The sequence below is a fragment of the Homo sapiens genome, chromosome 18 (assembly GCF_000001405.40).
Source record: "Homo sapiens chromosome 18, GRCh38.p14 Primary Assembly".
NCBI lineage: Eukaryota > Metazoa > Chordata > Mammalia > Primates > Hominidae > Homo > Homo sapiens.
In genome coordinates, this window is record NC_000018.10 from 10,793,008 (window position 1) to 10,806,393 (window position 13,386).

The following is a 13,386-nucleotide window of genomic DNA, read 5'->3' on the forward strand; positions in this document are numbered from 1 at the left end:
CACTTTGGGAGGCCGAGGCAGGTGGATCATGAGATCAGGAGATCGAGACCATCCTGGCTAACATGGTGAAATCCCGTCTCTGCTAAAAAAAATACAAAAAAATTAGCTGGGCGTGGTAGTGGGCGCCTGTAGTCCCAGCTACTCGGGAGGCTGAGGCAGGAGAATGGCGTGAACCCGGGAGGCGGAGCTTGCAGTGAGCCGAGATTGCGCCACTGCCCTCCAGCCTGGGATACAGAGCAAAACTCCGTCTCAAAAAAAAAAAATGTGCTTTACAAATGTTATTGTAATAGAAATGTTATAAGCCTGGAGATGTATTACTATCTTCTATGACAAAACCTTGCACTTTTTCTGAGTTCCTGGGTGCATTAAAATATAAGTGCAGAACCTAGGTTCCCGGAGTAACTCTTTTTTTCCACGAGTAACAAATTTATTTCCCAAATAATGTTTTCCTCCTAAAGAACTGTTAATTTTAGATTCGACAGGAGACAATTCAACTAGTGACTTGGCATGCAATTTTAGCAGTTTCATTGCTATTCGGAGTGAGACTGTGATGAATTTACACAGTCAAAAGAAAATAATTTTGATTTTTTAAAATAGAATAAGACTAAGTTACCAATTGTGTGTGAATATGTGTGTGTGGGTCTGTGTTTAAGAGGAAAGAGGGAGAGAGAGTAAAAGAAAAGAGTGTTAGATGAAGGTGCCTTGTAAGTGAGAGTATAACGTGGGATTTTCAGCATGGAGAAGCAGGCATAGGAGTTTGGGATGAATGAATCAATGAATGACATTCCCTTGGTCCATGAACACAGGGGTTATATTCTCACCTCTGTCACTAGAATTCACCTGTTGGATTGTGTTTCATTTACCCCAGTAGCTCTTCACCCAAAAATCTGTTACGAAGACCAAACTTTGCCCTAGTCTACTCTACCCCATTTACACCTGCTTGCCTTGGATATGGGGTGTGTGGCAACCCTTAAAGCGGGCACTTGCTCCCAGGAAAGGTGAATTTCATGTAATTCATGAAATGACCATCTCCTCCAAAGACACTAATTTCCAAGACCCATTCAATATAAACACGTTTATTTTTACTGTCTTAAAACTAAATTATTAACACAAAGGGAATGTGTGTTTAGTCTGCCATTCTGTTAACAAAACAAACAGTAAGTTGGGAAACCTAATCTTTTGAAATAAAACTGTTAAAATGGCCCATGAAAGCAAATAAGTAATGAGAAGAGTATGAACATTCTAACTCAGATAAGAACATATCATATAATCAGTAGAAGAAAAACAGCAAGTGTCATACTTCATTTTTGCTGCTAAAAATGTTCTTTAGGAAAGAATTGGAGAAAAACGTCATGAATAATCAATACTTATCTGTGACACTAATGCACTAAGCATGTTTTATAAAATGATAATCAAAGACAGTCCTATAATCCCTTAACACATTTTGCACTGTATTTTCCTATTTTCACACCTAATTTTTACTCTAGTAGGATTTATACTTAAAAACATTTATACAAGTTTTCTTTGAGTGGAAAACATTGTCATTCCTAAGTAAAAGCTAAATCATGGTGTAATATATGTTCATGTTTAAATTATAGAGGCCTCTAAGCACCGCAAACTGTTTCTTACAGTCTCATGTTTGTTCATTTTTACAAAGCAGTGAATATTTGGAACCTGTTTTTATAAGGTTTCTCTTGGATACGATTATGATGATGATTGTGGTTTTGTGTCATTGTTTTGTTTTATTGTATTCTATTCACTTACTTTGGAAGCAAGTTCTCCTGGCTCTTTCTTTTCTAAAAATCCTGGAACTTTTTTAATTTCAGGAAGTTCAAAACTCCATATATACTGTAATATCAACAATAGGTTTCCATAAACCACCATGAAGGGAGAGCTGATCATGGCATATTTTCTTCTGTTGCGAATCATCCAAAGAGTGCACGACCAGATCAGCAGCACGAAGGTCAGCCAGCTGTGATAGGTGATGCTCCAGGCCTCCGGAGGACAGAAAAGGAAACACGACCATGGTCAATACAATGCTCAGTCCCCCCCGCCCTGGTAAGGTAAAAACTATCTAAAAAGAAAAGGTCATAATATTCAAACCAGGGAGAGTAGAGAGTTGTGGTGGAGTGATGGAGACCCCAAGCCGTGGAGTGGTGGCTTGGAAGGCAGGAGGTTTTAAAGCTTTAACATTGTAGCTCCATTAACACAGCAGAATGGTACCGGACAAGGGCACATTTTTAATGAAGGATTGTGTTGTTTTTACAATAGACTTTTTTCAGTTAAGTAGCAAAATGTGTATTCAAATATTTTATTTTATTTTATTTTATTTTATTTTATTTTATTATTTTATTTTATTTTATTTTATTTTATTTTATTTTATTTTATTTTATTTTATTTTATTCAGCTCTATTGCTTTAAAGAAAAGACCAAACTTATCTGGCTTAGAGAGAAAAAAAAATGGTATACTCCTGTGAGCTCAGAATGAGAGATTTGCTGCAGTTTAAAGTAGCAGTTGATGTACAGAAAATGTCAAAAAGTAACCAAAGAACACAGAACTAATTTTATTTGAAGAATAGAGCTGGCAATCCCCAAATTAGCCTCTTCAATTTTGTGGTGCTTTCTTTTTCCCAGTCTCCTCTCACATGTGGCTGTGTTCCTTACTGGAAACTGAAGTTGAGCATACACAGGTTCATCTGAGAAGCACCTGGACTGAGTGCCTGGGGAAACCGTGCCTAGGTTCTGTGTCCCTTGAGTTAAAGAATATTTTTATTTTTATCATCAAAGGTGTCCATAGGATCTCACTGTTGACCACAGAATTTGGAAGAGTTGTATTTTAAACAAGAATATTAGGTTTCTCAAAAATAAATCAAATTTCCTAAGAAAATTTGTTTTTGGGAAAAGGAGAGATTATAGCTTCTTTTATCTTCTATCTATGGGCCAAGGGTCTGTTTTGAAGGTGTGATGTTGCAGATGGTGAGTAGAAACACACATAAACTGAGAGCTCACAATTGGAAGGTGCTCTAGGGAACCACGGTTGCTTGATGCTCATATTGGTAAAACATTATTGCTGCTGGCCGGGCTTGGTGACTCATGCCTGTAATCCCAGGACTTTGGGAGGCCGAGGCGGGCGGATCATGAGGCCAGGAGATCGAGACCATCCTGGCTAACACGGTGAAACCCCGTCTCTACTAAAAATAAAAAAAAAAAAAATTAGCCGGGCGTGGTGGCAGGCGCCTGTAGTCCCAGCTACTCGGGAGGCTGAGGCAGGAGAATGGCGTGAACCCGAGAGGTGGAGCTTGCAGTGAGCTGAGATTGTGCCACTTCACTCCAGCCTGGGCAACAGAGCAAGACTCCATCTCAAAAAAAAAAAAAAAGTTATTGCAGCTAAGAAGGAATTACGTCTCACCCAAATCTAAGATAAGATGTGAATATAACTCTCACTATCTGAAACGAATAAAAGTAGCCTATGTTAACCTTGAAGACCTTCAATGTCATTTAAAAAAACTAATATGTCCTCTCAAATTGGCAAAATAAGAGATAGTCTGACTTGACAAGCTAATTTGGAAGAAATGTATTAATACTTAAAAGGAGGATAAATAGAATTGAAAAGGACACAATTTTACAATCTGTAGTATAAATATCCCATGAAAAATTAACGCAGCTGACCGTTCTCTGCCAAGGCATTAGGGGGATCCCTATACTTCTGCTAGCCCTGAGAAGATAGCAGCACTTAGAGCCAGTGGGACTGTGGTCTCCTTTCTCCAGCACCCTGGCAGCCGCCACTCATACATACCATCATATCATACATACTGTCATATCATACATACCGTCATATCATATCATACATACCATCAGATATTGTACACACCATCATATCATACATACCATCATATCATATCTTACATACCATCATATATGTACTATCATGTCATATCATACATACCATCATATCTTATATACCATTATATATGTACCATCATATTATACATACCGTCATAGCATACATACCATCATATCATATCTTACATACCATCATATATGTACTATCATGTCATATCATACATACCATCATATCTTATATACCATTATATATGTACCATCATATTATACATACCATCATAGCACACATACCATCATATCATATTATACATATCATCATATTATACCTACCATCATATCATACATACCATCATATCATATCTTACATACCATCATATATGTACTATCATGTCATATCATACATACCATCATATCTTATATACCATTATATATGTACCATCATATTATACATACCGTCATGGCACACATACCATCATATCATATTATACATATCATATTATACCTATCATCATATCATACATACCATCATAGCTATGAGGGCACAGATGTAACTTTGTTTCATAATAAATTGGAATACGGAGACCATGGCATGAACTTTGATACTTCTTTTTTCCTCACGGCTCCTTTCTTCTTCAAATTCTTCTTTCTCTTCCTCTTCCTCCTCTCGCTTTTCTAGATGGACGAATACTTTATTTAACTATTTATGCAAACATGTGACATTTGTATAAATGTTCCAAGCAATGCAGCACATGTATGGTTTTGGTATAGCCTTTTATTTAAGATTTCAGAAATTGTTTCCCATTCATAAAGCCCTTAAAATTCAAACAGAATCAGTAAGTTCTGCATGGTCAGTGTAATGGGATCTAGCATGTGATAATTGAGAAAGGAAAATTTCCATGTAAGAAGATACGGAATGAAGCCTCTAAACCTGTCATCAGAGCCCCCACCTCCTGGTGTTCATGCTGTTGTGTGGGCCCTCTCCTCGAGTGTGGGTGGGACCTGTGACAAGCTTCTTCTAACACAAATAGGGCACTCTAGAGGGGATGAAGGGTCACTTTCAAGATTCTGTTTAAAAAGACTGTGGTTTTCATCTTGAGTGCTCTCTCTTATTCTCTCACCTGCTTGTCCTCAGACAAGCCAGCTACCATGCTGTAAACAGCCCTATGGGGAGCCCCAGGTGTGAGAACTGATGGCTCTGCCAGCCAGATGTCAGCAAGAGCCTGAGGCCAGCCAATAGCTACACAGTGAGCCTGGGAGCAGATTCTCCCCCTCTCCGACAAGCCTTCAGCTGAGATAGCAGCTTGACTGCAATCTCATGAGCAACCTTGAGCCAGAGGAACCAGCCTAGTGATGGCCAGGTTCCTGGTCCAGAGAAAGTGTGTCATACTAAGTGCTGTTCTAAGCCACTAAGTAGACTGCCCTTTCTGCCTTTCTTGTTCAAATCAAATGGGCTATGTATAGGTGGGTTACAGGAGAAAGTTTCTTAGCAGCATAAAGAGGTATAAATGACTGAAAAATCAGTGACTGTGCATACTACTCCACATGGGCTCTGCAATGAGACGATGGTGTGTCCTTGGCAGAAGCCCACTGGCTCTCATTCTTCCTGCAGTAGGACTGGATGAGCCTGCAGTTTATACAAAAAGTCCCTGGGATCATAGACAGGGGTGAAAACACCAAATCTGATGGATTTTAGAGTTACTGCCATGCTGCTTCTCTGGTTAACACTTTTTGTGTATATAGATTTAATTTTTAAAATCTTTCCAGCTTTTGTTTCACTTTTGAAAGCCCAGTTTATGATTTCAGTATGTCTGGGTTGTCCGTGTCAGCACGCAAAATTCAATTTACTTGTCCACATGAAAGTAATGGGTAAGTAGAAGGTTGTCTAGGCTGTGACCCCAACAGCTCAAACGTCAGAAGCCACAGATGCTGACTCTTGGGCCCTGTGTGTTTGCTTCTGGTGCTCATGCTCTGAAGAGCACACTGGAAAGCACTGTGTTTCCTTGAACTTTCCAGTTTAAGCCTGAGCTGCAAACTAAAACACATACATGCAGGAAGCAGAAACAGGGAACGAAACAGTAGAGTTTGAAGCTATGCAGCTCTCAGGTGTCATCATGGGTTGGGTGTGAGGGTGGGGTGGGGGTGGTGGCTGACCTTGATTTAACCTTACTGCGGAATGTCAGATAATATGACTAACCAGTTGTACAGTTAAGTATTAAGAAGCCCTGTGGGGCAACTCCAGGAAGTACTGATACAGAATTATGAAGAACAGACATGAGAATAAACCTGATAAAGAGTTATGCGAAAAGGCCCTTGGAGTATGTGTGATGTACCACAGATGCAAATTGGAGAGCTGTGGCCACTCACTAAAGGCACGACAAGGTCTAAGAACTCTGGCTGTAATTACATACAAATAGAGATGCAAATCCACTCTAGTTTTATAGTCGCTTTGTAATTCTGTCTTTATGGATTGGTGACAGGCAATTGGTCCCTTGCAGGGGCAATGACAATAGAGGTCCATCTAACTGCTGTTTTGTAGAGGTGAGGGACTAGTGTTGCCAGACCTTCACAGTCTTCAAGGGATTCCAGAAGTGTCCATTTCTAGGTCAGAGGTGCAGCTTTTTAAATGATGGCTATTTGAATTTGTTTTAAATGCTGCGCAGACCAAAAATCAAATCTGAGAGTGAAACTCAGCCCCAAGTCACCAATTTGTCATCTTTAGTAATAGTGGTCTCCTTCAACATAAACAACTGAAAGAAAAGGGAGACAAAAAGCCTTGCAAAAGTTAAGACAACCTCGTTTTTTAAAAAATGGACAAAAAAAAGGACTCTTAAAAAACACTCAGCCGGGTGCGGTGGCCCACCCCTGTAGTCCTAGCAGTTTGGTAGGCCAAGGCAGGTGGATTGCCTGAGCTCAGGAGTTTGAGACCAGTCTGGGCAAAACAGTGAAACCCAGTCTCTACTAAAATACAAAAAATTAGCCAGGCGTGGTGGTGGGCACCTGTAGTCCCAACTACTAGGGAGGCTGAGGCAGGAGAATGGCGTGAACCCGGGAGGCAAAGGTTGCAGTGAGCTGAGATCGTGCCATTGCACTCCAGCCTGGGAGACAGAGCGAGACTCTGTCTCAAAAAAAAAAAAAAAAAATTCATATATTAACCAGGAAAACCACTGACCATAATTACAATATCAACTAAAAGAAAGACCAACATATGTATAGATGCTATACCTAAGTTGACATGTTTAAAATACTATTTTCACCTTTTATTTTAAAAGTTTGCCTCAATTATGTCACTTACTTTGTATACAAGGATAGAACACAACTAGCAATATGCTGGGGCAAAATGCAGGCAGAACTTAAAGAAGTGAGGTTAATGACACTGACATGGATACAGTTTTTAAAAAAATAAAATAAGCAACAACAACAAAAAGAGAGAGGCCAAGCTTCTAAATGAGGAAGAAATGCGACCCTGAGTGCAGGGCTGGCTCCTACCTGAGGATTCATCAGAGGGCTCCCACCGGTACTGAGGGGTGGAGTAGAGGTCGGCTTTGCCAGGGCCGTTCTCCATGGGCAGGCTTGGGTGGATGGTGTGGTAATCCACGGGGTTGCCGTTCACAGTCACCAGCAGGCCCTGCCGGGAGTGCAGAGAAAGGGACAACTGTTACAGCAGCTCTGGGTTTTCAATGCAGACATACCCCCACTTCCCTTCCTCCACCCTAACTGAACAGTGAGGAGTTGATTACAAGCTGAATAACTTAGCCAATTGCCCAAATATTTTAGTAAGGGGAATCTTGTACATTCCCTCTCCAACTCTAGTCTCCACAGAGTGATCGCAGGAAAATGTGCATCTGATCTTGTTGCACTTTGCCTGAAACCATGCTTCGCACCTGCTGTCCTCAGTATGAAGAGCAAACTCTTGTAAATGGCTGAAGGAGGCCTTCAAGATTTGGTCTGATCTTTCCAGCCTCAGCCTTTGCTACTGTCCACCTCTCAGCCATCCCTCCATCTATATGGGACTCTAGACCTTTCTTGGGCTGTGGTCCAACATTGTCCTGCCTATGCCCTATGTGGCTCTGCACAGGACTAATGCAAACATCCCTTGGATCTCAGCTAAGGCATCACCCTCTGGGGATCTCTGCCTGACTGCAGGTTGCTATGTCCTTACTACACCACTAAGTACAATTGCTTGTTTCATCCTTCTGTCTCTTTGGCTTTACAATTTTTGAGATAAACATAACACCCACCAATACACAGGTGTATGTGCGCCCATGGGCATGCAAAACTTCCTACTTACGAATTAGGCATAGCTACAGAACAAAACACTTTTTAAAAAGCCCACAAAGCTTCTTAAAATTTAAATATATTTTGTATGATTATACTCAATTTCATTTAACAGCAATCTACCAGATATAATTTATGCCCAAAAATGGAAAAGCTTATGGAAATTTTAATAGATCATTAAAATAGACTCAAAGGAGCTACTTCCATTTGTTGCCTTTACATCACTTACACATGCATAAATGATAATTCTAAGGGTATACTAACATCAGATGGTTTGTAGTCATCCTGGGTCATGGATAAAAGCTGCAAAAAGCAATGCGGGAAAGCATGTTAGTAAGGAAGCTGAAAGCATTTTACTGTTTATGTATCTATAAAGTTTTACTGTGCACAAGCCCATTCTCTTTAACTTGCTGATTGCTAGTATATTAATATTGCCATGCAAAATATAAAAGGACAAATAAATGAGCTGGATGCTGCTGTTTATGACAACTATTTCACAGCTCTTGATGTTAATGTTTAGTTATACAGCAGATAAGCAAGTCTATAAATGTTACCATGTTTTTCAAGGGTTATGTTCTACAAGAATAAGCGCTTAGTTTTGTACCCGTTTGAGACATCTGCAGAATTCTGAATGTATTTATGTTTCAAGAAATAGAATTTTCATAATAAAGAAAAATTGGGCTCGGCGCGGTAGCTCACGCCTGTAATCCCAGCACTTTGAGAGTCCAAGGCAGGCAGATCACGAGGCCAGGGGATCGAGACCATCCTGGCTAACACAGTGAAACCCCATCTCTACTAAAAATACAAAAAATTAGCCGGGCGTCGTGGTGGGTGCTTGTAGTCCCAGATACTTGGGAGGCTGAGGCAGGAGAATGGCGTGAACCCGGGAGGCGGAGCTTGCAGTGAGCCGAGATCCCGCCACTGCACTCCAGCCTGGGCGACAGAGCGAGACTCCGTCTCAAAAAAAAAAAAAAAAAAAAAGAAAGAAAAGAAAAGAAAAATTGATTTGTAATGTGGTTAGAGATTATTTTAAGATTTGCATACTGTCTACAACAAAATGATTATTATATGACTCTACTTTTTAACTAGTAATACATTACTACCAGGTGATTTGGGCTTCCCCCAAATAATAATTAGCACAGCAAGTGGTTCTACCACAATTTTAGGTCAGTACTCATTTGCATTCTTAAAAATCACTGAGGGTCCCAAAGAGACTTAATTTATGTGGGTTCTATCTATCAATTATCTACCATACGAGAAATTAGACCAGGTAGTCTTAAAATACTTATTTACTTATGTATTTATTCATTAAAAATTTAAAAAAACCCATTGTGTGTTAGTATAAATAATTTAAATAGTTATTTTTTAAAACAAATAGTGAAGAGAGTGTCATTGTTTTATAATTTTGCATATCTATTTAATGTCTAGCTTAATAAAAGACAACCGGATTTTCACATCTGCTTCCGTATTCAATCTGTTGTGATGTGGTGTTCCGGTTGAAGTAGATAAAGAAAATCTGGCTTCACATAGGTATGCAATTTGGTCAAAAAGAAGTATTTTAGTGCCGGGCGCAGTGACTTATGCCTGTAACCCTAGCACTTTGGAAGACCGAGGCAGGCGGATTGCCTAAGCTCAGGAGTTCAAGACCAGCCAGGGCAACATGGCAAAACCACATCTCTACTAAAAATTCAAAAAAATTAGCCAGGCGTGGTGGCACATGCCTGTAGTCCCAGCTACTTGGGAGGCTGATTCAGGAGAATCGCTTGAACCCAGGAGGCAGAGGTTGCAGTGAGCCAAGATCACACCACTGCACTCCAGCCTGGGTGACAGAGCGAGACTCTGTTGCCAAAAAAAAAAAAAAAAGGTATTTTAATAATCTGTCTAAATAACTGTGGACAGTCTTTGCTACTCGATCAGACTCAACCAGTGTAGTCTTGAATGTCAGTTGTAGTGCAGAATCTGCAACCATATCAGTGAACTTTTCATACATACTCTGCTACATTAAAACCCATTGGCATATCATGCACCCCGACTGGATCATTTATCCACGTGCTGTCATGTCAGGTGTTGGTGAGTCGGAAACTGCTGTTTCAGTGAGTTACAGGTATCGAACTCTACCAAATACTGACAAGTTTCAGTATGCCATGAGTAAAAAGCACATTTGTCAATATCACCTCATCTCATCAGAAAAGTCCACAAATATTGGAAAGTTTTTAAGCCCTCAGTAGATATGAATTTTCAAAAATTCTAATTTTTACTCAAATGCTTAAATTTTATCACTGGTAACAATTATTGTCCGTTGTTTGCCTCAAAGTGATGAGCTCACTTCATTTATTTTCAAGTAATTGTCTGCCAAATACCCAAATCAACCAAATACCCGACAGAGTAAAATTATTTTCTGCAATATAGTTCAGCACTGAAATTTTCACCCTCCAGTGCTAACAGATTGCTTTGCTACTTTTGTTTGTTTTAATTACAAAATTATTTTTTAATAGGAACATTCTTTTTAAGATTAGGAGATTTCAGTAGAAAGCACGGAAATATAAAATGATGTTCTTGACGGGATCTGGGTATTTTCTTTGGAAATAGTTTTCCCTCTCTGGTACTAACTCTCCTAAATCACTGTTTCTATAAACTACAAGCAACCTGAATATGATATGATATATATGATATTATAAGGCTCATATTCAACAGTAAAATACAAAAACAGAAAAATTAGGGAACGGAAATCCCTTTCATCATGGCTTACTTTTCTCTCATCAGTGGGGTAATGGGTTGCGTACCACAGGCTCCGCCTCCTCCCCGCTGTTATTTGGATGGGGCTACAAGCCAGGGCTTTGTCCTCTTCTTTGGTCCCCTCATCCTGCACCTGAAACACAGAAACAGGATCAGTCTTGCTTCCTGAGGCAGTTCCCTAGACAGCCTGGGTGGCCAAGACAGAGCTTTTCATTTTGGCTCAGTATGATGACTTTTCAAAGTGAATGTTTACAATATACAGGATTTTATCAAGACACTTTAAAAAATGACAAAAATACCACCCTGTAATTGTAAGTACACCAGTATTAAATGTCCCCTGATTCTACTAAGCCCCATGCATTACAGAATATGCTCCATTGTTAAATATCCACAGCTTTTCCACGTGCATTCTCAACTGCACTCAAAAGCAGAGATGCACATGGCTCTTAGCCAAGAGCCTTCACAAAGGTGCGCGGTTAACCGTGTAAGCCAGCTGCCGGCAATCTTCAATTAAGACTGGATGTATTGAAGGCAGAATCATCTAGAGCTCACACAGCACTAAGCAAGAGCGTATCTATGCACATGAGACATTTGCCTAAATTAGACAACTGGTCTAGGAAAGGTGATAGAGAGGAATACGAGGAACAGAAGCGCTTCGGTGCCTTAGCATGTTTTCCCAACAAAAGTGTCCTAGTGAAAAGGGCAGTCAGGCATCACTGATACTGGAGTGGAGTGGACTTAGTCTCATTGTCTGGGTCCCAGTGCACCAGAGTAGAACTCCTAAGCAGGGCACCCTAACTCCCTGGGAGGGGCGTTACATTTGCCAGGTGGGGGCCACATATTACACTGAAGTCTCGACACTGACTTTTCTCTCTCTCTTTTTCAAACATGTTTCATAGATGTCTACTTCAGCACTCACATTTGGTGGCCGGTATTTTTCATTAAATGCACCAGGTCACCTGGAACTATGATATAATCAGCTTCTTTTTCTCATTGACTCAATGCAACAGGCCTTCCGTCCCAGCCCATTTGAAATAGAGCCCACATGAAATGTTGATGATAGTTTGAAGCCCACTTCTCTACATACCCCTGCAGACCTCGTGATTTATAACATTGCTGTTGCTGTGTGGCCTATAGCCTAGAAGGTCTTCCCGGCTCTCTCTCTGCTACCTTTGCTTGCCAGACAGCACATGGCAGTGGAAGCAGAATATCGCATGGACCCAAAGTTATAACGGAGCCCTCATCAAGCTACTGCATTATCCAAGAGATGACATGGGATATCCCAGAGAAAGCAAATGGGCTGGGAAATCTTAATAACTAGAAAGCCTTAAAGTAATTTCCATAATGTATAAGAGTTTGTTCAGAAATAGTTCCCATCGTGGTGGCTCATGCCTGTAATCCCAGCACTCTGGGAGGCCAAGGCGAGTGAATTACCTGAGCTCAGGAGTTCCAGACCAGCCTGGCCAACATGGCGAAACCCCGTCTCTACTAAAAATACAAAAAAATTAGCCAGGCGTGGTGTCGGGCACCTGTAATCCCAGCTACTCAGGAGGCTGAGGCAGGAGAATTGCTTGAACCCAGGAGGCAGAGGTTGTGGTGACCCGAGATCATGCCATTGCACTCCAGCCTGGGCAACAAGAGTGAAACTCCATCTCAAAAAAATATATATGTATATTTAATTTTTTATGTACATGTTTTTATTTGTGAATATATACATATACATATGCATGTTTGTGGAGGAATTGGACACAATTTTAATGATTCTACTGGCACAGTCAAATTTTAGAAGAGAACTGAAGAAAAATATAACACAACATGACTGGGATTCCTTACCACCCATAAATCATTTTGTTACTATACAACTGTCATCAGTGGCCTAAAAGAAAGATGATCCATGAGAACCCTGCTAACAAGGATGGCCTCTGAGACCCTAATCCCACAGATGGCTGTTAGCCACTGAGATGGGGGGGAGGTAGCACATAGGAGGAAGACAGCACCATCCTCATTTCTGCAGGTGGCGCTTCTGTCAGGGATGACCGGAGCCATGCGCCTCCTGCAGTTTTACAGTCACTATCTGATTTACAACCTGTTTGCTTCTCTTGGACCATTTTTCTCTTTTAGAATGTACAGCTCTCTAAGTGGGGCCCTGCCTACTGAAGTCATTGCTCTATGCTGGCCCCTAGGTTAGTTTCAGATCCAGTTGGCCTTCCATAAATACTCATTGACTGGCTGACTGATGAACATGTGGGAATGGTCTGTGGGTACAAAGACAGACAGAGAAAGTAGGGAACTTCTGCAGGGCCTCAGGCTAGAAGTGATTCGGAGGAGGGGGACTGGAATGCAGAGACTCAGGCTGGGCCATGCTCATGAGAACTGTCCCCAGCTGTAGGGTTCCCCGCAGGTGGGGCCTGAAAAGGTGCGGCCACCCTGTCTACACAGCTTGTCTCCTTCATGTGTCAATAAGCAACCTTGCAACCGGGCTCCTGACAGTCATTTAGGGGAAAGAAAAGCAGGCTGATATTTTCTGTCACT

General features: G+C 40.8%; 1 protein-coding gene across 11 annotated transcripts in view; it reads right to left on the reverse strand.

Moving 5' to 3' along the window:
• The window catches only part of PIEZO2 (piezo type mechanosensitive ion channel component 2), a 479,323-nt gene that overhangs the window by 122,761 nt on the left and 343,176 nt on the right, over positions 1–13,386 (reverse strand). For 9 of the 11 annotated variants that reach the window (XM_047437736.1, NM_022068.4, XM_011525725.4 and 6 more), the window contains exons 9-13: positions 10,868–10,987; positions 8,383–8,421; positions 7,330–7,468; positions 4,367–4,515; positions 1,765–1,995 (exon numbers count right to left, since the gene is read on the reverse strand). In XM_047437736.1, coding sequence (XP_047293692.1) covers positions 1,765–1,995; positions 4,367–4,515; positions 7,330–7,468; positions 8,383–8,421; positions 10,868–10,987 — 678 coding nt within the window. The remainder of the gene's footprint in view (positions 1–1,764; positions 1,996–4,366; positions 4,516–7,329; positions 7,469–8,382; positions 8,422–10,867; positions 10,988–13,386) is intronic. The other 2 variants (XM_047437735.1, XM_017025918.3) reach the window with 1 other exon arrangement.